Source organism: Homo sapiens, chromosome 14, assembly GCF_000001405.40.
Source record: "Homo sapiens chromosome 14, GRCh38.p14 Primary Assembly".
NCBI lineage: Eukaryota > Metazoa > Chordata > Mammalia > Primates > Hominidae > Homo > Homo sapiens.
Window position 1 is genome coordinate 77,684,253 of NC_000014.9, and position 23,794 is coordinate 77,708,046.

A 23,794-nucleotide genomic window follows, 5' to 3' on the forward strand; every position below is an offset into this window, starting at 1 on the left:
TGCTGCTGGTCCAGGAATTACACTTTGAAAACCACTATTCTAGCCCAAACTAAAAAACAAAACACAATACCGTCTGTTTCTTTCTAGCTCAATAACAGATTGCTTTATTCTTTTTCTTTTTTTTTTTAGACGGAGTTTTGCTTTTGTTGCCCAAGCTGGAGTGCAATGGTGCGATCTTGGCTCACTGCAACCTCCGCCTCCCAGGTTCATGTGATTCTCCTGCCTCAGCCTCCCAAGGAGCTTGGATTACAGGCATGCACCACCACGCCCGGCTAATTTTGTATTTTTAGTAGAGATGAGGTTTCACCATGTTGGCCAGGCTGGTTTCGAATTCTGGACCTCAGGTGATCCACCTGCCTCAGCCTCCTAACAGTCACAGCTTGCTGCAGGCTCAAGTAATCCTCCCCACCTCAGCCTCTTGAGTAGCTAGAACTACAGGTGTGTGCTACCATGCCTGGCTAATTTTTAATTTTTTTGTAGAGACGGGGTCTCTCTATGTTGCCCAGGTGGGTCTTGAACTTCTAGCTTCAATCAATCCTTCTGCGTTGGCCTCCCAAAGTATCGGTACTACAGACATGAGCCACCATGCCCAGCCTCATTTTATGAAGAATCCATACTATTATATCAATGTCAGACTGATCTGAAACAATAAACATAACAATAATGCTGCTTTGGAAATAATTCAAAAGGTGACAGTATTTTAGACATTTGATATGGCCGCAACAAACTGCTTTTCCACCAAAAGATTTAGTCTAATATTCAAGAACAGAGAATACATTTTATAAACACAGGTTTATGTTATTAACAATAAAAATTATCAAAATTATAGTGACAGCATGAATAGAATCATCCTGTAATATACCTTTTCTAATTTAGTTCCTTTCCTAAGAAGCCAAAATAACATCTCTCACTGGGAGCGGTGGCTCACGCCTGCAATCCCAGCACTTTGGGAGGCTGAGATGGGCGGATCTCTTAAGGCTAGGAGTTCAAGACCAGCCTGGCCAACATGGTGGAACACTGTCTCTACTAAAAAACCAAAAACTAGCCAGGCATGGTGGTGGGTGCCTGTAATTCCAGCTACTCAGGAAGCTGAGGTACAAGAATCGCTTGAACCCAGAAGGTTGCAGTGGGCCAAGATCATGCCACTGCACTCCAGCCTGGGCGACAGAGTGAGACTCCGTCTTAAAAAAAAACACAAAAAAAAACAAGGACTCTAACTGTATGATTAAAAGAAAGGCTTTGAGCTGGGCGTGGTGGCTCACGCTTGTAATCCTAGCACTTCGGGAGGCCGAGGTGGGCAGATTGCCTTAGCTCAGAAGTTGGAGAACCAGCCTGGGCAACATGGTGAAACCTCGTCTCTACTAAAAATACAAAAAATTAGCCAGGCATGGTGGTGCACGCCTGTAGTCCCAGCTACTCGGGAGGCTGAGGCAGGAGCCTGGGAGGAGAAGGTTGCAGTAGACCAAGATTGTGCCACTGCACTCCAGCCTGGGCAATAGAGTGAGACCCTGTCTCGGGGGGGAAAAAAAGGCTTTGAGTTTTTGCGTTATATTATAGAGGATGACTGGTCCAGGGATGTAAAACAAGCCAGAGTCGAGTCTTACATTGAAAAGCATTAAGTTCAGTCCTCATAACAAAAAGAAAAATTGTGATCTTTGAGTGTCTATGCCATTTTGGGGGCAATGACATATATATTTTTGTAACGTATTAGACCCATGTAAGTGCATTAGACCCTCATTTTATATTCTCTTCTGAAAACCTGATTTCAATTCTTGCCTTTGTATTTTCTGAAAGGAAAGTAGCAACAACTCTTAATATCTGCCTTCAATATGTTGAGAGCAGGACTGGCCAGCACCAAACATTTCTTGTCTTAGTACTATTTAAGGACCCTTCTGGTTAATCATGGGCCTCCTGAGTAACAAAAATTCCAAGATTTGTTCTTGAACACTGTGAATAGTAAGACCAAAACCATTTAACATGCTTCCGGATCATTTTTAAGCATAAAATACTGAGAGAATCACTGAAGGGGGTGGGTTGTTCTCTTTTTAAACCTGACTTGTCCAAAAGGAGGTCAAGAAGGATCAGTACCAATACAACTCTCACCTTGAAGAATGCAGGAAATACGTTGGCACCTAATACATCTTTATCCAATTATCCAAAAGAATGTGTTCAAGCAAACATGACCCTAATTATTGGGTCTCACTAAAAAAGAAACATGCTATGCTCCCTGCTGCCTTCTCCAGGCACTAGCAGAAGGATGATGGATGGGTGGGTTGGCCACCTTCTCCCCTGGTGAATGTGCTCATACAGCAGTTTGCTTGGTTTATGTCATGGGTAAGCGCCTTATGTAAGCGTTGGCATTTCTCTTAGCAATTGTTTTTTTCTTTTTTGAGACAGAGTCTCGTTTTGTCGCCAGGCTGGAGTGCAGTGGCGTGATCTCGGCTCACTGCAACCTCCGCCTCCTGGGTTCAAGTGATTCTCCTGCCTCAGCCTCGCAAGTAGCTGGGACTACAAATGTGTGCCGCCATGCCCAGTTAATTTTTGTATTTTTAGTAGAGATGGGGTTTCACCACATTGGCCAGGATGGTCTCGATTTCTTGACCTTGTGATCCACCCGCCTTTGCCTCCCAAAGTGCTGGGATTACAGGCGTAAGCCACTGTGCCTGGCCACCCCATTCTTTCAGTGTTTGAGTGCTTCCAGTTTTCTCTCTCCCTTCTCAACTTGACACTCCCAGTCACTCACTGCAAATGGACATCCAATGCCACTGTAACTGCTAACATCCTCTTGCTATCCTGCAAATATTCAGTCTTATCTAACCGTCTTCTGTTCTAAACCTTCACCATTCATCTCAAGTCCTTAGTTTTGTTCTTATTTCCTTCTATGTCAGTGAGAAAACAGAAGCCTGCTCAAATGATCCAGTGAACAATTTCAACTTTCCTCCCCCACACCACTAAACTTCTCTAAATTTTCACCTGATCCTCCTGGTTTCAGAAGTGGTCCTACTTCTTTCTTCCAAAGCTAATTCTCTACCTATACTATATCCTATTTCCCTGACACAGCCTCTGAGGCCTTTCTCCATTAATAGAATGTTTCTTCTCATACTTTCAAGTCCTCTTCTGAACTTGTTTTTTCCTCTTGGCCTTCAAACATGTTTAATACTCCTACATACTTAAGAATAGACAATAAAAACATTTTCTTTGTCACTTATGCAAGCTACCCTGCTTATACCTCACCTCCTTCTACCCCCTATCTTTCCTTCCCTTTATAATTAAACTTTTAAAAAATTCAGCATTTGCCTTCCTCACTCTCTCCCCTCACCATAATCTGACTTTTGTTTACACCACTACTGAATCTAGTTTCTTAGTTTTCATTACACCAATTAATTGTCAAATCCTAGACCTATTTGACATGGCTGGCCCTTCTCTTCTTGAAACATTTTCCTGTCTTAGCCTCTAACAGCATTTCTTCTGTTTTTCCTCATATCCTTCTGGCTGCTTGATGTCTTTTCCTGCTCTATTTTCTTCATCCTGTGCTGAGGCTTCCTGGGGCCAACAGCCTTCTTTTCTATAGATGAGAAAGAAAAGTGAAAAGAAGAGAAGAAAGAAAACCACATCTATTTTCAGCGCTTTACTATGGCCTTTACGTGTAACTCCTCATCTCATCTCTCTTCGTGTCCCTCTCACCCTTAGTTACTCCTAAGCTCAGTTCTGTATTTCCAAAATCATGCTGGACATCTCCACCTGGATACCCTACAGGCATTTCAAAAAACAGTATGGCCCCAACTACACTAAGGATAGTCTCTGCTCATTCTTTTCTTCTTTCAATACTTATTTCCATTACAAGCCTCAGTATTACCCTCACTGCCATGTAGAAATCAGTAGATAATTGTTAACTTTCTTTTCTCTCACTTTTTATAATTGCTTGGTAACTAAGTTCTGTAGACAACATCTTTTTGAGGCCTTTATCATCTTTTGCATGGATTAAACTAAATTTTTTTTTTTTTTTTTGAGACAGAGTCTCAATTGCTCTGCTTTTGCTCTGTCGCCAGGCTGGAGTGCAGTGGCGTGATCTCAGCTCACTGCAACCTCTCCTCCCAGGTTCAAGGGATTCTTCTGCCTCAGCCTCCTGAGTAGCTAGGACTAGAGGTGCGTGCTGCCATGTCCGGATAATTTTTGTAGATTTAGTAGAGACAGAGTTTCACCATGTTGGCCAGGATGGTCTTGATCTCTTGACCTCGTGATCCGTCCACCTCAGCCTCCCAGAGTGCTGGGATTACAGGTGTGAGCCACTGCACCCAGCCTTTTTTTTTTTTTTTTTGAGACAGAGTCTCATTCTGTCGCGCAGGCTGGAGTAGAGTGGTGCGATCTTGGCTCACTGCAACCTCCACCTGCCGGGTTCAAGCGATTCTCCCACGTTCAAGCGATTCTCTCACCTCAGCTTCCCTAGTAGCTGGGATTACAGGCGCCTGCCACCATGCCCAGCTATTTTTTGTATTTTTAGTAGAGACGGGGTTTCACCATGTTGGCCAGGCTGGTCTTGAACTCCCGACCTCAGGTGATCCCCCCACCTTGACCTCCCAAAGTGCTGGGATTATAGGTGTGAGCCACCGCGCCTGGCCTGAACTAAATTCTTAATTGTGCTTTTTGCAACCACTGCATTTTCAGTCAATTTCCTCCACTACCAGAGTTATTTTTCTGAAGTGAAAAATCTGTTATTAATCCTGATAAATACCCACTGTTAATAGGACAAAGTCCACACTCTTAGATGACATGCAGAGCCATTTATATTCTGGCTCTAACTAACCTTTCTAGTCTCATCTCCAAGCATTTCCCACAAGGTATGCTATTCTCATGTTTTTCATGGCCGTGCCTCTGACTATACAATTTTCTCTACTGAAATGCTCTACTCCACTCTCAGCCTAGCAGATTTTTCCAATTTGTTTTTTCATACAGTTTACACTCACTTCTTCTGGGAAGTCTTTCTCCCAGCCATTTCCTATATCGTGCCCCCAAAGCACCTTGCAACTTCTATTCAAGTATACATGCTTTGGTATTGTAAATTCCTTATTTAAGTACCTGGGTTCCTCCTTTAACAGTCCCTCCCTCACTGGCTTTTATTCTTCTTCATAGCTATCCTAGCATCACATATTTTCTAAGACACAAATGTACATTATTTAATAAATTAGTGAAAATAAGAAGAAAAGCTATATAGTCTCTAAATGATCCTTCTCAAATTTAGCATTGTTCTTATTGGACTAATAAAGAGGGAATATGAATTTAATTGAAATAATATTTACTGAGCACCTTCTAATATATACAAAGAACTGTGGTAAGAATCAAGGCTACAAAATTTTCAAGATGGGAGAGGAAGGCAATGGAAGGAGACAGGGGTAGATAACTCAATTCACTAGAAAAAATGCTATACTAGCATTATAAACAGTCAAGTAGAAAGAGGAGAGGATTAATTCTGCTTCCACAATGAGGGTAACAGTGGGAAAAAAGCTTTCATATACATAAAAATAGAGTATTTCATAAGCTAATTTACAGAACAAATAAAGCTAAGTTGTTATTTGGCAACTATGTTGCACTTAATTAAAAAAAAAATCAAGCAAAAAATTTAGAAAACAAAAAATAGACAGAAAATTGTAGTTCCGGCTATTCAGGGGGCTGAGGTGGGGCAACTGCTTCAGCCCAGAAGTTCAAGGCAGCCTGGGCAACATAGCAAGACACCATCTCTAAAAAAAAGTGGCAATAAACAAACAAACCAAAGCAAGAAGATAAAGAATGAGGGGAAGTAGGAGATTCTTGTTGACTGAATGATAAGTGAAGACTTTCTTCTAAGATGATATTAGAACAAAGACTTACAAGAAGCAAGACACTGTTGATCTAAGGGAAGAGCTTCCTAGGTAGAACAGCCTGTACAAAAAAAAAAATCTTGAGCATGCCTAGTGTGTTTAAGGATAGCACTGGAGGTCAATGTGGCAGAAAAGAACAAATGAAAAGGAAATGAGGTAGGAATGGTAGGAAATGAGAGTAGAGAGGTAGCTGTGGGCCAGGTCATATTGGCCTTACAGCCATGGTTAAGAATTCTGGATTTTTTCTAAATGTGATGATGTTATGCAACAAAGAATTTGACTGGTCTTTGTCCCTGGCTCCTGGCAGGGAACTTCTAAACCCTTGAAATTTCCTGAGTGATAAAGTGTCACTGTTAATCAAGGTGGGCCCTTGGAACCACACCTGAGTTTGTGCTATGAAGGGAGGCTGGTTAGGAGGCTACTGCAGTGCTCTAGATAAGAAATGATGGCAGCTTAGACCAAGGCAGTTGTGATGGAGATGGTGAGAAATGACTGAATTTATTCTGGCTTTGAAGTCTGGAATATATACTAGAGGGTTGCATTTAAAGTTTTTTTAATCCTTGCACAGCAGCTGCATTCTATGTCTGGGATATGTCACGTTAGATTTACCTGGTCGCCTGTTGATGAACTCTTAGGCTGTTTTGCATTTTTTTTTTCTGTTACAAACAATGTCACAATGAAGATGTTTACACATAACTCTTTTTTTTTTTTGAGACGGAGTTTCACTCTTGTTGCCCAGGCTGGAGTGCAATGGCGTGATCTCGGCTCACCGCAACCTCCGCCTCCCGGGTTCAAGTGATTCTCCGGCCTCTGCCTCCTGAGTAGCTGGGATTATAGGCATGCGCCACCATGCCCGGCTAATTTTGTATTTTTAGTAGAGACGGGGTTTCACCATGTTGGTCAGGCTGGTCTCGAACTCCTGACCTCAGATGATCTGTCCAACTCGGCCTCCCAAAGTGCTGGGATTACAGGCATGAGCCACCGTGCCCGGCCTGCACATAACTCTTGTACACTTTTACAACAATCTCTAGCTACGCCATTCACTTTGGAAAAAAAAGAACAGAATTGAGGTACTCTAATTTTTTGAACAGTCCTTAAGTTCAAGTATTTTTTTTTAAATAATTTTTGTTTTTGCTTAAGTTCAAGTATTTCTTCTTCATTTCCTATTTAAAGTTTTTTCTTCCCTGACTATAGAATTCTAGAAAATTAAAACCAAAAGGATCTTAGAGGTCCTTTACTTCAGTGGTTCTCAATGTCAGAGGATGTTATGATACCTAATCAAAATCTCCAGGGGAACTGTTTTGAACTCAACAGACTCTCTCCTGTTCTGAGAGACTCTGGCAAAGTTGGGAGAGCTGCCAGGTACTGTCCACATGACCCTGACTGCCCATGATTCAATTACCTTGAATGGCTTATCCAGTCCAATACCTTCATTTCTTACATGAGGAAACTGAAGCACGTATCACATAGTGATACAATGAAAACTTGGCCTTAATCGATTTTCAGTGCTGCCAGTACAATGTCTTGAGCATATCAATTTCTTCCAACCCTTGACAACATAAGGTACGACCATCAAATTTTTTATTTCTGCTAATTTATTAGACCAAAAAAAAGGTATCTCACCATTGTTTACAGGATGATTTATTACAGAGATTCATCTGAGCTATCTTAAAAGACAGCTGGGATTTCTGCAGAGTCATATATCAGAAGGAAAAAAAATTACTTGAAAACACAGGCTGGTTTAATAGCAGTAGGTTCTCTTGGACTAATTTTACTTAACCACGATCTTCCTTTCCCCTGCTCTCAGTTGCGAAGAAGACACTACTAAAAGCTCATGGACAGGATTTTCCTCACTGCTCCTGTTGATACCATAACCTATAGACCAAGGTTTAAAAAAAACCACTGAATTTTACTTTTCCTTTCCCCTTAAGAAAATCTTCTCTTTACTCTGTTAGAATCGGCATGACAGTTTCTGAAAACTACAAAATTAAGGCCACGTAACACCAAACGGGACACAAAGTTGGTAAAATGGTTTTAACAGGCACTTTAAAGGACTTCTCACGTATTATCTTGTTTAATCCTCATACTATTCAATAAGGAAAGAACTGTTATGAGACACAGAAAGGTGAAGGAACTTGCTCAAGGTTACACAGCTATTAAGTGGTGGAGCTGGGATCTGAACACAGTCAGTCTGACTCCAGAACTAGTGCTCTACATTAGTGGTTCCCAACCTTTTTGGCACTGGGGACCAGTTTCATGGAAGAGAATTTGTCCATGGATGGAGTGGGGATGGGGGGTGGTTTGGGGATGAAAACTGTTCCATCTCAGATGAACAGGCATTAGATTCTCAATAAGGAGTGCGCAACCTAGATCCCTTGCATGTACAGTTCACAACAGGGTTCGCGCTCCTATGAGAATCTAATGCTGCTGCTGATCTGACAGGGGGCGAAGCTCAGGTGGTAATGCTTGGCTGTCTAGGTCTGCTGCCCCATGATTGGGGACCCCCCTGCTCTACATCACTAAAACCTTTACCATCTGGCCCAAATCCACCTCTCCTCCTTCATGTTTTACCAATTCCACCTACTCATGGCTTCCAGGAAGCATTTTCTATAATCTACCTCCAGCCTAGCTACTTAAGTGACCATTCCCATTATATCTTATAATGTCTGTCCCTGCACCTACCAAATTGTATTTATTTATTTATTTATTTATTTAATTTATTTATTTTTAGAGACAGTCTCTCCTCAGCCTGCCGAGTAGCTAGGACTACAGGCACACACCACTATGCCCAGCTAATTAAAAAAAAAAATTTTTTTGGGGCCGGGAAGTGCCTTACACCTGTAATCCCAGCACTTTGGGAGGCCGAGGTGGGCAGATCACCTGAGGTCGGGAGTTCAAGACCAGCCTGAACAACATGGAGAAACCCCTACCTCTACTAAAAATACAAAATTAGCCGGGTGTGGTGGCGCTTGCCTGTAATCCCAGCTACTCTGGAGGCTGAGGCAGGAGAATTGCTTGAACCCGGGAGGTGGAGGTTGCAGTGGGCCAAGATCATGCCATTGCACTCCAGCCTGGGCAACAAGAGCGAAACTCCGTCTCAAAAAAAAAAAAAAAAAATTTTTTTTCATAGAGATGGGGTCTTGCTATGTTGCCCAGGCTGGTAACTCCAGGCCTCAAGTGTTCTTCTCACCTTGGCCTCCCAAAGTGTTGAGATTACAGGCATGAGCCACCAAGCCCAGACCCAAATTGTATCTAATTATCTGTTTGTAGGTTTTTGAACATAACTAAAGTACAAATTTCTTGAAGACAGGAACTGTTTTTTATCTGCCTTTGAATCTCTAACACTAAAGCACAGTGTCTGACACATAGCAGAAACTCAATAGATAACAACTGAATAAACGTAAGAAAGTACACATCCTATGCTCTTGTCTCGCAGGACGATTTATTCTGTCTTAAATATTGTATCTTTGCTCAGGCTGCTTTCTCTACTCAGTAGAGACTTTTTACTTTTCTGACTGGTAAACCCCTACTCATTTTTGAAGATTAGTTCAAATGGACAGTGAAAGGAGGATAACCCAATAAAAAAATCATTTTTTCAGGCCGGGCTTGGTGGCTCACGCCTGTAGTCTCAGCACTTTGGGAATCTGAGGCAGGGGGATCACTTGAGGTCAGGAATTGAGACCAGCCTGGCCAACATGGCGAAACCCCATCTCTACTAAAAATACAAAAATTGGTGGGGCGTGGTGGTGGATGCCTGTAATCCCAGCTACTCAGGAGACTGAGGCAGGAGAATCGTTTTAATCCAGGAGGCAGAGGTTGCAGTGAGCTGAGATCGCGCCACTGCACTCCAGCCTGGGTGACAGAGTGAGACTCTGTCTCAAAAAACAAAAAACAAACAAACAAAAAATCATTTTTTCTTCGTTCACACTTCTACCCTGCCTGGAATAATTATTTCCTCCTCTATGCTCCCACAGTATTTTTCTAAACCGCATCATAACACTTTCTGAGCTCTACAGTAATTATTCTCATAGGTAATGCATTCTTGCCAGAGACTATGCACTACTGAGTGCAGGGAGGGTGCCTTTATCTTTCTGTGTCCAACGCCTAGCATCATGCCTGACACACTACTGACCCTCATTAAGTATTTGTGGAATGAATGAATGAATGTTGAAGCATGAAGGTGAAAATATTAGTTATTCTCATCAGGAACAACTGACCTATCATAAAACGGCTAGTACCACTGAATCCATCTAGGAGGGTAGAAGCAAAGAGCTTTCGATGTTACCTTTCCTAGGATACCAAAAGCCTTCAAAGGAACTCACTTTAAGTAGAAAAAAATGGCTGAAGCTAATGGAAATGGATCATGTGATGATTAATGAGGATGAACTCAATTATCTAAGCTATGATAAGCAAGTCTTTAAAATGGATCTCAATTTACTATAACTGTCAAAGCATCTGTCCAAATGTTCCTGGGGAAAGAATACAATTGTGCTGTTTTTGCTTGGAAACAATGAAGGGAAAAAAAAACCCAGCCAGTCACTTTTACTGCATTGTTATAGAACAGTTCCTTCAAAGACCTGTGATGATCTGAGCTGAGTATTAACACTTCATTCTGATTGACAAGACTTACCTCAGGAACTCTTTGCTCTGTTCCCACAGATCTTGGGTCTCTTCTTTAGACATGTGTTTGTCCAGGTTACATACATTAGGTTTCTGGGAATATAACTTAAGGCACTGTTTCACCCAGTGCCACTGGTAACCTGGGAGGAAGGGGTTTGGGATAAAAATAAACCCTATACAAAAGATGGGTGGGAAAAAAAGAAGAGGGGGAAATTCTCCATCAGTTATTCAAATAATTTTGACATCTTTATACTCACTATTTTGTTATTTACTCCCCATATTTTTTTGGTCATGCTTCAAGTTAATGAACAGGTAGGTTTTGATGAACATTAGACATCTACCCCTATGCAAATGTGTCTGGCTTTCTGGGTATTCTCAAGAGAAATAAATATTCCACAACAACTGTTATCCCAAAGCAAACTTTAGAATTGGAAGTGGTAAAAGTACACCTCTAATTTTTATCAGGTCTTGACACTTAGAGTCATCCGAGACTTCTTTACCTCCCTATTTCATTTATTACAGGCATGATTACACGAAATCTTATAATGAATTTTAGCTAAAACATAGATTTGAAAGTCATCGTCTAATGAATGGCGTGCTCATTATTGGTCTATTTTCTCTCAGTTTCAAATCCACTCTTCTATACTTAGCTTCATAATATGGGGCTGAGACCCTGCCAGCTACATTTCTTATTTGCCAGCTGGCTGTCTGCTAACCTGTGCCTATAAGGGTCACTAATGGAAGACTGGAGGGCGGAAGTTGGTTCTAATGTAGCTTTTCCACATCACTAGAATCAGCCTCATTATGTCCTCTCCTCAGAAGTCTAAGCCCCAGTTCCATGTAGTCCCTTTTCCAAGCTTCTCAATGTAGTAATCCCAAGCTCTTTTGTTGTTCTTCTCAGCTGCAGGGGTGACAGTTGCTTCCTGCAGTTACTGTCTCTGTAATATCTCAGTGTTTGCAAATTCCTGCAGTTAGTGTCTCTGTATTATCTCAGTGTTTGTAAACAATTACAGCATGTGTGTTAAAGATCTTTGTGACCTTGACAGCAACCTAACCTCATTTTTCTCTGTAAAAGATTAATAATAGGCCGGGCGTGGTGGCTCTCGCCTGTAATCCCAGCACTTTGGGAGGCTGAGGTGGGCGGATCACATGAGGTCAGGAGTTTGAGACCAGCCTCGCCAACATGGTGAAACCGTCTGTACTAAAATACAAAAATTAGTTGGGCGTGGTGGCACGCACCTGTAATCCCAGCTACTCAGGAGGCTGAGGCAGGAGAATCACTTGAACCCAGGAGGTGGAGGTTGTAGTGAGCCAAGATCACGTCACTGCACTCCAGCCTGGGCGACAGAGCCAGACTCTGTCTCAAAAACAAAAGATAAATAATAATATTTAACTGGAATCCTACGCATGGTAAAGATTCATTCATTCATCAAACACACAATATGTGCCAGGCACTTTCTTTCTTTCTTTTTTTGAGATGGGGGTCTCTCTCATCCTGTTGCCCAGGCTGGAGAACAGTGGTGTGATCCTGCTTCTCTGCAACCTCTGCCTCCCGGGTTCAAGTGATTCTCCTGCCTCAGTCTCCCAAGTAGCTGTGATTACAGGTGCCTGCCACTGTACCCAGCTAATTTTTTTTATTTTCAGTAGAGACGGGGTTTCACCATATTGGCCAGGCTGGTCTGTACTAGGCACTTTCTTAAGAATTAGAGGTCAGTGCCTGGGAGGTCTGGCATGAACAAGGTGAGCCGGGCCTGGTCTTGTCCTACCTGGGGCCTGCCTGGCCTGACCCTAGCCCTGGCCTTGCCCCAGCACCCCTGTCTCCCATGGGAGTGGCACTGCTGGCTGAGAGCATAGGCCTGGCTGTGACTGACTTCAAATTGGACATCACATGGCTCAGCTCATTGGCTGCGAGGGAGCTACCTGTGTAGCTGTACTAGCCAGGGACTTTACCCTCATGAGAGCTCTGTTCCTGTCACCAGTGGCTGTAGCTTCTGGTAGGAGAGAGTAGTATAGGCAGTATGCAGTCAGATAAAGACCAAATACGCTGACAGATGAGCAAAGATATCCTGCTGGTGGAGGGATACTCCTCTGAGGTCCAAATGGAAGTAGATGCAGATAGAAATGGTACTAAGATATTCAGGTATGCTTTTGACAAGCACTGAGGAAGAGGATTGGGAAGACTCCTTCATGAGTTGCTGTGGGAGCACAGAAGAGGCATGACCCCTGGGTTCCAGGCGGTACGTCTCAATGCCCTGACTGAGACAATTGCCTGGACAACCTGTAGCTGGTGCTGTGGGGCTGGTGGCCCAAAGCCAAAGAGACCTCCAGAAGAGGTAGCAAAGCTTGTACTGGTTTGCAATTCAGCAGCTTCCCATGGACCCCAAAGAAGAGCAGTGACCTGTCCTAACTGTGACCTGGTACTGTAACACCAATGGAGACGTGGTGGAAGAGTTGAATTCTTACACCTACTATAGCAGCATTACCCTTCCTGCACAGTGATTGAGAAGTAGCTCCAGGAGTTCAAAATCTGTGGGTGCTGCCAGGTGGCCCAGTACTGAGGCTCTGAGTGCCAGCAGGAGCGGGCTGGCCACCATGAAGCACTGTCAGGAGAGGAAGCACCCCTTCCAGCATGACCTCAGCTGGAGCAATGACGGGCAATGGAGCTGCACATGCTCGCAGTCCCTGGGCTCTACCTTGGACACAGCAGACAGACTGGTGGTTGAACTTGGAGGTGTTGAAAAAGCCAGCTGTGGGCCCAGAACAGCCACCAAGTGACTCTCGATGTCACTGGAAGTGTGTATGAAGATAGCGTCCCCTCCAGTCTTAATCTCCAGCAAAGACAACCGGGAGACTCTGGCCAGGATGTTTCTCATTATTTATACGTTAATAGGTTTGTAAATTCATGTGCAGGTTTTTTGGGAGGAGGCACTGAGTGGGGTAGAAATTACAAATAAAATCATTTGCTGTAATAAAAAAAAAAAAAAAAAAAAAGAATTAGAAGCCGGGCATGGTGGCCTGGCCGATGCCTGTAATCCTAGCACTTGAAAGGCCAAGGCAGGCAGATCACTTGAGCTCAGGAATTCGAGACCAGCCTGGGCAGCATGGTGAAACCCTGTCTCTACAAAAAATACAAAAATTAGCCAGGCGTGGTGGCATACGCAGGTAGTCCCAGCTATTTGGGAGGCTAAGGTGGGAGGATCGCTTGAACCCAGGAGGCACAGGTTGCAGTGAGCCAAGACTGCACCACTGTACTCCAGCCTGGGTGACAAAAACAGACTGCCTCAAAAGAAAAAAAAAGAATTAGAGATAAAGTGATAAAAAACCTTGTCTGGAGAGGGGGCAATAAAGACAAGTTAAACTCCTTTTTGTAAGACCAGCTATGAAAGAAAATAAAAGCTTAGGCATAGTCACAGAAAAATAGAGTTAAGAGGGTAGTTTTTGGTTTTTAAGGACTGGCAAGACCTAAGTATGCTTACAGATTGTGAAGAAAGAGCCAACAGGGAAGAGCCACTTGGAAACAGAAGAGAGGAAAGAAATAGAGCAAGGTCTTGAAAGCTGGAAGAGGTTTAAGAAGGTGAGATGGATCAAGAGGGTAGAGAGACTGGCTTTGAACTAAAGGAACTCCTCCTCTACGACTGGATGGTGGAAATGAGAACATTTGCTTATAAGTGTTGGGGGCATTGAAGGCTCAAAGGGTTTGTGCCTGAGGGACTCAGTTTTCCCAATAAGATAAATAGCAAGGTCATCTCAACAAAAGTGAGCATGGTTGGACAGGTCCTGAGGAACAAGAAGGAATCCAAGCAATGATATAAAAGCCAAGCATCATATATTAGTGTAATGTTCCCCTTGCAAAAGGATTTTAAAAACAGATGAACAGACTAAAGCTTAAGGATTTCTGAATTAAATGCTGGCAATAATTTGAAGGTCTTCTTCAGTTCCTGGTTGAACTCCAGATCTAGTCTAGACCAGAGGTCAGCAAATGTTTTCTGTCAAGAACTAGATAGTAAAGACTAGGCTTCGACAGTTATTTGGTCTCTTTATTTTTATTTTTTTGAGACAGAGTCTTGCTCTGTCACCCAGGCACAATCTTGGCTCACTGCCACCTCCACCTCCCTGGTTCAAGCGATTCTTCTGCCTCAGCCTCCTGAGTAGATGAGATTACAGGCTTGGACTACCATGCCTGGCTAATTTTTGTATTTTAATTTATTTTCTATTTTTATTTTTTAGTAGAGACGGCATTTTGCCATGTTGGCCAGGCTGGTCTTGAACTCCTGGCCTCAACTGATCTGCCCGCCTCGGCCTCCCAAAGTGCTGGGATTACAGGCCTGAGCCACTGCGCTTGCCCTTATTCGGTCTCTTTAGCACTCAATTCTGTCACTGTAGCCAGAAAGCAGCCATACATAGTAAGTAAACAAAAAGGTGTGGCTGTATTCCAATAAAATGTATTTACAATAAAACTGCAGTTTGCCAAGTCCTGGCGTAGACTATTAGCAATAACGACACATTTTATGGAAATATCCTTAGGGAGAATTACTATGGAAAGCAGACAGTAAAGACACTGAGCCGAGAGCCTAAAACAGAAACAACTTTGTTATTACTTAACTACTTTTCCTCTTTTCTCTTTGGCATATAATTTAGTCATAAATTAATGGAATAATGATAAAGTTTAATAACAGCAATTAACAATAAGTAAGTTTATTCCTAAGTCATTAATTATAGTAGCTGCTAAAAATAACTAGATGCCTACAAGTGTCAGACACTGTGCCAGCAACCTTATGCTATCTCATTAATCTTCAGTAACTCTATGAGGAAGTTATTAATCCAGTTTTGCAGATAAGAGAACAGAATTTCAGAGGGGTAACATGGCTTCACTGATTCATCCCTCTCTCCTGGCCCATCACAAGGCTAGCACACATTTGAGATAAGACAAACAAACAATCTGGGATACGACAAACAGAGTTGGATTTGCGGCCATGGAACAAGCAAAACCAGTAAGCCCACATAAGCAACAAACCTATGCTCTTTGCATTATAAATATTAGGTTCTGGCTGGGCGCGGTGGCTCATGCCTGTAATCCCAGCACTTTGGGAGGCAAGGAGGGCGGATCACGAGGTCAGGAGATCAAGACCATCCTGGCTAACACAATGAAACCCCGTCTCTACTAAAAAATACAAAAAATTAGCTGGGCGTGGTGGCGGGCGCCTGTAGTCTCAGCTACTTGGGAGGCTGAGGCAGGAGAATGGCATGAACCCGGGAGGTGGAGCTTGCAGTGAGCAGAGATCACACCACTGCACTCCAGCCTGGGCGACAAGCAAGACTCTGTCTCAAAAAATAAATAAATAAATAAAAATAAATAAATAAATACTAGGCTCTAACCAAACAAATCTCTGAACAATATCATCAATGGTCCACTATCAGAATTTCAAAGAGATTTAAAACCACATATGGTTCAGCTGAAAGGAGGTTATGCCATCGTAGAAATACACAGGAAATAACCTGAAGATTCCTCTACTGTACTAAATCTTACTAAAAGCACTTAAAATTCTATGTCTAGATTCTTGCAGATATAGAAAAAAACTAGATAGCTTAGAGATATTCAATGTGGACAGGTTCCTCATTGCAGTTGATTAATCCTGTTCCACCATTTAATATTATCAATAGCATATACTCCAAAGTAAACCTAATGACCAAAGTCAATGAGCTTTTGGCATCAAGGAAACCTCATACAGACAAAGTTTACCAGTAATCTGATTTTTCATATGTCTTCTAAAGTAGCTCCAAAATACATTTGGATTTTATGTTTCATTTATCAGTAAAATTCTCCAAATAGTTTGGGAGAATGATAGGATCATCAATATTATGGAAAAAGATAGGAAACCCCCCAACAACCTACCACCTGCTATCACCACAATTTCACGAAATAAAGAATATTATAATATTCCCAAACATATTAGACTAAAGGAATAATACTTCTGGTTTAGTCCAAGCTTGAATGGTGACAGGAAATTTAACATCTCTTTAGGCAGTCCATTTTAGACAACTGTTGTCTTCTTTTTAGTGGGTTAAAATCTGCCTCCTAGCCAGGCACAGTGGTTCAGGTCTGTAATCCCAGCACTCTGGGAGGCCGAGGCAGGGGGATCACTTGAGTCCAGGAGTTCCAGACTAGCCTGAGCAACATAGTGGGACCCCATCTCTACAAAAAATAAATAAAAAAAAAATTAGCTGGACATGGTGGTGCAAGCCAATGGTCCCAGCTACTAGGCAGGCTGAGGTGGGAGGAACCTTTAAGCCTGGGAGGTCAGGGCTGCAGTGAAGCGTGATTGTGCTACTGCACCCCACTGGGTGACAGAATGAGACCCTGTCTCAAGAAAACAAACAAAACCAAACTCTGCCCATCTTGCATCTACATGTTCTCCAGATTAAAAAAAAAATCTGCCTCTCTATAATTTTCAGTCATTGGTCTTGGGTTCTGACACCTAGAGCAACCCCAAATCATTTTTAAGTGCTTGATAAATGCACTGATCTAAGCAGTTAACATATACATTAACATTTAATCCTCATAAGAACCTTATGAAGTAGGTACTATTTTTATATACATTTTACATATGATGAAACTGAGGGCAAGAGAATTTAAAAACTTGCCCAAAGTCTTACAGTTAGTAGATGGCAGAGCCAGGATATGAACCCAGGTAACCTGGCACCAGAACCTACGCCTTAACCACTGGTGTGCACTGCTTCCCACCACTTCTTGTGCAGGACAATTTTTCAATGTTTAATGCTGTCAAGTTCCCCCATAAGTCTTTTCTTCCCTAGATTCTGTTTCTGGTTTCCAGGCCTATTATCCTCTTGTTCAAGAGGATGTGTCCTCACACAAGTGTGAGGACAGGTTGTAGTATACTCAGCTTCCTTCAGATTAAGTCAGATCCAGAAGTAAACACAATCCTTTTGATCAACTCAGAGTAAGAAGAGACTGTTCTCTCCTGTATTTTGGACATTATATTTCTATTAAATACAGCTTATAGGGGAAAGTAAGTAAAAAATAAATAAATAAAATAAACACAGCTTATAATGGCAAGAGAGACAGAATAAACTCTCCAAGGATATAATGGGACACCCACCCAAAAGATGTGGCTTAATTAAGCAGTAAATCCTAGAAAGCCTCAGAAAGCAAGTACAGCAGTTTAGACAATTTAAAACTCAAGTGGGGTTAAGTTTGTGGCATGAACAATCTGTTAAGGGGAGAAAGCCTAGAGCAACAGAGAATCATGGCCTTAAAAATAGGTACTAGAGGCCGGGCGTGGTGGCTCACGCCTGTAATCCCAGCACTCTGGGAGGTCAAGGCAGGTGGATCACCTGAGGTCAGGAGTTCAAGACCAGCCTGACCAACATGGTGAAACCCCATCTCTACTAAAAACACAAAAAAGTTAGCTGGGCGTGGTGGCGGGTGCCTGTAGTCCCAGCTACTTGGGAGGCTGAGAGAGGAGAATTGCTTGAACCTGGGAGGCAGAGGCTGCAGTGAGCGGAGATCACACCACTGCACTCCAGCCTAGGCGACAGAGCAAGACTCTGTCTCAAAATAAATAAATAAATAAATAAAAATAAGTGCTAGAGTTGAAAGGTGAGGAGCGGCCTCCAAGAACAAGACTATTGGTGATGCATGCTCTACATTTACCCAAACTCAAGAGGAGCCAGGCTGTTATATCTTCCCAAGCTATTAACAAGTATTTCGGTGGTCATAACGTATTAAGAGCTGTACCATAGAGTCCTGGCCATTGGCACAATGAAAACTAACATTTCTTTTTAAAGATTTCTCTTACTTTTAACCCATATTTGAAATCACAAGTGCAATGTTAACTTTTACAATGGCCCCAGGAGCCTAGAAAAAAGGTTAATAACATTACCTATTCTTCATTATTTTCTTAATTTCATTCTCTGTAAAAGCAGCTACCTAACATTACTAAATTTAAAATTGCAGACGAATCTATTCTGCAAAATGAGATGGGTCTCATTTTGTCACCCAGGCTGGAGTGCAGTGGCACGATCTCGGCTCACTGCACCCCAAGCAATCCTCCTACCTCAGTCTCCTGAGTAGCTGAGACTACAGAGGCATGCCACCACACTTGGCTAATTAAAAACATTTTTTTTGGCCAGGTGAGGTGTCTCACGCCTGTAATCCTAGCACTCTGGGAGACCGAGGCGGGTGGATCACTTGATGTCAGGAGTTCGAAACCAGCTTGGCCAACATGAAACCCTGTCTCTACTAAAAATACAAAAATTAGCTGGGCGTGGTGGCATATACCTGTAGTCTCAGCTACTCGGGAGGCAGAAGAATCACTTGAACCTGGCAGGCGGAGGTTGCAGTGAGCTGAGATTGTGCCACTGTACTCCAGCCTGGGCGACAGAGTGAGACTGTCTGGGAAAAAAAAATTTTGTTTTGTAGAGACAGGGTCTTACTATGTTACCCGGGCTGGTCGCAAATTCCTGGGCTCAAATGATCCTCCCACCTTGGCCTTCTAAAGTGTTGGGATTATAGGTGTGAGACACCTCGCCTGGTCCCTATTAGGACTTTCTTTTTTTTTTTTTTGAGATGGAGTCTTGCTCTATTGCCCAGGCTGGAGTGCAGTGGCACAATCTCGGCTCAACAAGCTCTGCCTCCCGGGATCATGCCATTCTCCCACCTCAGCCTGCCGAGTAGCTGGGACTACAGGGGCCCGCCACCATGCCCGGCTAATTTTGTTTTTGTATTTTCAGTAGAGATGGGGTTTCACCTTGTTAGCCAGGATGGTCTCAATCTCCTGACCTCGTGATCCGCCCGCCTCGGCCTCCCAAAGTGTTGGGATTACAGGCGTGAGCTACTGCGTCCAGCTTTTTTTTTTTTTTTTTTTTTGAGACAGAGTTTCCCCCTTATTGCCTAGGCTGGAGTGCAATGGCGCGATCTTGGCTCACTGAAACCTCCACCTCCTGGGTTCAAGCGATTCTCCTGTCTCAGCCTCCCAAGTAGCTGGGATTACAGGCACGCACCACCATGCCCAGCTAATTTTTGTATTTTTAGTAGAGACGGGATTTCACCATGTTGGCCAGGCTCGTCTTGACCTCCTGACCTCAGGTGATCCACCCACCTTGGCATCTCAAAGTTCTGGGATTACAGGCATGAGCCACCACGCCTGGCGAGGACTTTTGATGTCATTAATTGTAATTCTTTATTAAATATGTTCAGCCTTGATAGCAACAAGTTTTAAGTTGTTATGCCATTTGAGAATGTGACTAGAGGGACAATTATGAATTATTCATAACTATTATGACATTTATTACAATGATAATGATAAATTATTCTTCACAGCACTTCTGCCAAATCAGATGTTCAGAGTTGTGGCAGGGAGCCCAGAGGCAATGTCCTTATTTTTTCAATGGTCATGCCACTTTCAGCCACATTTGCAGGCACTGCTGACTCCTGTTCTATCCTTTCAAAACGGACGTCTTAGACAAGGTACAGTCTAGAATGGGTTTGGAAATGAAACATTTATCTGTTTATTATGTGTATCCTTTGTCTATTTACTTGCTCACACACAGTACCTTCTTTGAAGACATGAAGACATAAATGATTGAGTGATATTGCCTTCTCTGAGGTCAGTTACACTCACCAGGATAGCCTTTGAGTCCATAGGCTTGCCACTTGCTGACGGGCTGAAGACCTGCTCTATATGCATTCTGCTCACTGACAGAAGACACATTTAGCTGAGATTTGATCACCTGGCAGGAAGGAAACAGAAGTTAAAGGACTAAATCTATTTTGCAGGTCAACCCCGGGAACCTCAAACCTCCAAACACATTTCTTGTATGAGGCAAAGCTAGGATTCTTGTTTAAGATACAGAACCTTGCTCTATTGCTCAGGCGAGTGCAGAGGCATGATCATAGTTCACTGCAGCCTCAAGCTCCTGAACTCAAGTGATCCTCCTGTGTTGGCCTCCCAAAGCAATGGGATTAGAGGTATATGCCACTGTGCCTGGCCAAAGCAAGGAGTATTAACTCTGGGGTTAATCTTAGCTGTACTGCTTACTTGATCTGGGCATTTTAGATGAGTCATTTAATGTCTTAGAGCCTCAGTTTCTCATCTATATAGTAACAGTAGAGTCACCCAAAATTAAGGCAAAATGGTAATAAGAAAACTTAAGCAGGCTAATTTTGGCTTTCAAAACTACTTTTTCCTATGACATCATACCTTTCCAACTTCTTATGGGGCTGAATCATGAAAGGTGCTTGGTGTACTGAAATATCTTGAGTCACAAAGCTATTTACTTCAGTTAGGGCTAACAGTAATGCTTTTGAGACACTTGTATAGAGTTGGTATTTAAACAGAGCTATAAGGAACACCAAGCTGGACAGGGTGAGAAAATGAAAAGAGAAGGCCGGTCGCAGTGGCTCACGCCTGTAATCCCAGCACTTTGGGAGGCTGAGGCAGGCGGATCACGAGGTCAGGAGTCCGAGACCAACCTGGCCAACATGGTGAAACCCCGTCTCTACTAAAAATACAAAAATTAGTTGGGTGTAGTGGCGGGCGCCTGAAATCCCAGCTACGAGAGGCTGGGGCACCAGAATTGCTTCAACCTGGGAGGTGAAAGTTGCAGTGAGCTGAGATTGTGCCACTGTACTCCAGCCTAGGAACAGAGCAAGACTCCGTCTAAGAAAAAAAAAAAAAAAAAAAAAGAGAATGAAAAGAGAGTGCTGTAAACAGACAGAAAAAATGTTGCAGTGAGACACTGGGAATCCTGTCTGCTAAAAGTAAAAGCTAAAAAATCCTGTTTGCCCTCTTCTAGATGAAATGTCCAACTGACGCTACAACTTCTGCTTCTGTTAATTACTTAGAAATGAATTTAGTATTTCAGGGGCTGAAGTTTTCTTTGTATGTGAGTATCTAATGGATGGCTCATTACATTGGTTAAGAGACCCACTATGCAGTCATTGAAGTCAAAACATTAAAGGAAAAAACCTTTATTCTTCCCTGAATAGTAAACCTAGGGTCTGCCTTGCCTTAAAATATATGAAACAGGCCGAGCGGTGGCTCACACCTGTAATTCCAACACTTTGGGAAGCCAAGGCAGGTAGATCACCTGAGGTCAGGAGTTTGGGTCCAGACTGGCCAACATGGCGAAACCCCGTCTCTACTAAAAATACAAAAATTAGCCAGGCATGGTGGCGCGTGCCTGTAGTCCCAGCTACTTGGGAGGCTGAAGCAGAAGAATCATTTGAACCTAGGAGATGGAGGTTGCAGTGAGCCAAGATCACGCCACTGCACTTCAGCCTGGGTGACACAGTGAGACGCTGTCTCAGTAAAAAAAAGTATATATATTATATATACACACACATATATACACACACACATATATATATATATGAAACATTCTCTTTGAAAGAGAATGATCTTTTATCTTATCAACTTCTCCAAGTGTGGAGATTCCTGGACAAAATACCAAAAGTTTGCTGATGTATAACCAGTCTCTATAATAAAAGGGCTATATGAAACCCTCTGACAGTACTATCAGCTGAGTTTTCCAGGTACCTAGGCACTGGTAAAACACTTTTAAGCATTTTGTCATGATTTCTTTAATAGGCCATACTTAATACTGCACTATAATTCAACACACTCTCAGAGGTGATGTTAGTGGACCTATTCTATCATATGCTAAACTGAACGACACCACTGAGCTTTTATAAAAGGTTTTCTCTTTCCTCCCTTGCCAGACTGTTAACCACCACTTTCCCCACCAGTCTCATCAGCTGGCTTGTAATAGTAACTTCTCTTAATTACTACTTTAATCTGCTTTGAGCTGAGGAACTAAACACCCAAGCTTTCATGTACTCAACACATACTGTACTTAGTACTGTTTTAGGTCCTGTACTAGACACATAATGGCTCATTCCCTGATGGCTGACATTCTAAAAAGCATGTACATATTATGGTAAAATGTAGGTAAAAGGAGCTGAATGAGAGTCTGAAGCGCTCTGGAGAGAAAAAGTATATTATTATTGGGGTGTGGACTTTCTGTATTTTGACAACTCTAAGACCACTTTTTTTCCCTAACAAATGAAGGTGCTGAAAAGCTGAGCTCAAGTATGCAATCATTAACACTTAATACTGTAGCATCCCAATTTTATCAGAGCTGTTAGGAAGCTTGGAAAGAATGCCTCATCTAGACATCTGTGGACAACACCAAGAGCAAATTAAGGGACTGCATATCCTCAACGTTAAAGTGGATTGTAAAGAAAGAAAATATAAATTGGACTACAGTTTTGGTTCCCCGTTTTCCCTCTTGCCTGTTATGTTCCCTTAAAAAAATAATTTTTAAAAAATCTATTTACTTGAGAACAGGTTATGAGACTGGCTAATTTTTTGTATTTTTGGCGGAAACGGGGGTCTTGCCATGCCCCAGGCTGGTCTCGAACCCCTGGGTTCAAGCGATCCACCCGCCTCGGCCTCCGAAGTGCGGGATTACAGGCTTGAGCCACCGCTCCCGGACTGTGTTCCCCTTCTTAATCTCCATGGGGAAAAGCTGAGAGAGAGAACGGTGCCTGTATTCCATATATACTTGTTTGCCATTTATTTTCAACACGGAGGGATTCTCAGAATCCTTCAATGACCTCCTTCTAAAAGAGCCAGAGGAGAAGACAGGGACTAGTTTTACGCACAGTGGCTTAACAAACAGCGCCGCATCCCTGTCAGTTCTGGGATTCCTCGGGAGTGGTTTTTTTTAAGCTGCAGAAGTCTACCCTACCGTCTACAAAGACGTTCTATGGGGTTTTACAAAAACCCAAACAGAAATGTGAGGAGACAGTTACAGTAAGAAATAAACACGGATTCCCAGGCTCTTTTGACTGAGCGCCCCCGCCAGGAATGGCCGCCTAAAGAAACAGGCATCTCAACGCTTTATTGCTAAGTGTGACGGTTAGTGGGGAGTTCGACTCTGCAGCCAAAGGAGGTCAGGAATCGTTCAATAACAATCGGTCTGGAGGTGAAAAGAGGCGAAGAAGACACGTAAGTCCCTCCAAGACGCGGGGCAAAGCGATGGAGAGACGCGCGCCACTCCTCTCTCTGTACCTTTTGGGCACCAGGACCCTTGCCACGGGCTGCGTGGGCCGCCGAGAAGTCGATGACCCCTTCCAGGTCTGCGGTCCCGGGCCGGCTCTGACGGTAGAAGCGGAAAAGTTTCCGAAAGGCGTCCTCCCCGGGCTCAGTCGCCAGAGTCGCCACAGAGCCCACGGCCGCTGCCATCTTCCCCATCTCGCGGCCTATACCCTCTGATCCGGAAGCAGATTCTCTCGT

General features: G+C 43.0%; 1 protein-coding gene and 1 pseudogene across 2 annotated transcripts in view, besides 3 other annotated features; one reads left to right on the plus strand and one right to left on the minus strand.

Annotated features, from left to right (window-relative positions):
• ALKBH1 (alkB homolog 1, histone H2A dioxygenase) overlaps positions 1–23,771 on the minus strand; it is a 35,620-nt gene extending 11,849 nt beyond the window's left edge. For both annotated transcript variants that reach the window (NM_006020.3, XM_047431848.1), the window contains exons 1-3: positions 23,570–23,771; positions 20,117–20,225; positions 10,486–10,648 (exon numbers count right to left, since the gene is read on the minus strand). In NM_006020.3, coding sequence (NP_006011.2) covers positions 10,486–10,648; positions 20,117–20,225; positions 23,570–23,752 — 455 coding nt within the window. In that variant the 5' untranslated portion in view covers positions 23,753–23,771. The remainder of the gene's footprint in view (positions 1–10,485; positions 10,649–20,116; positions 20,226–23,569) is intronic.
• Positions 926–1,427: an enhancer, noted in NCBI's record as "H3K4me1 hESC enhancer chr14:78151521-78152022 (GRCh37/hg19 assembly coordinates)". NCBI's record gives its function as "activates a minimal SCP1, AML or CMV promoter by ChIP-STARR-seq in naive H9 embryonic stem cells {active_cell/tissue: H9 hESC(naive)}" and the evidence as "EXISTENCE:reporter gene assay evidence [ECO:0000049][PMID:30033119]".
• Positions 1,428–1,927: an enhancer, noted in NCBI's record as "H3K4me1 hESC enhancer chr14:78152023-78152522 (GRCh37/hg19 assembly coordinates)". NCBI's record gives its function as "activates a minimal SCP1, AML or CMV promoter by ChIP-STARR-seq in naive H9 embryonic stem cells {active_cell/tissue: H9 hESC(naive)}" and the evidence as "EXISTENCE:reporter gene assay evidence [ECO:0000049][PMID:30033119]".
• ZMYND19P1 (zinc finger MYND-type containing 19 pseudogene 1) lies at positions 12,517–13,112 on the plus strand (annotated as a pseudogene).
• Positions 23,405–23,734: an enhancer, noted in NCBI's record as "active region_8810". NCBI's record gives its function as "activates an Ori minimal core promoter by ATAC-STARR-seq in GM12878 lymphoblastoid cells {active_cell/tissue: GM12878}" and the evidence as "EXISTENCE:reporter gene assay evidence [ECO:0000049][PMID:35858748]".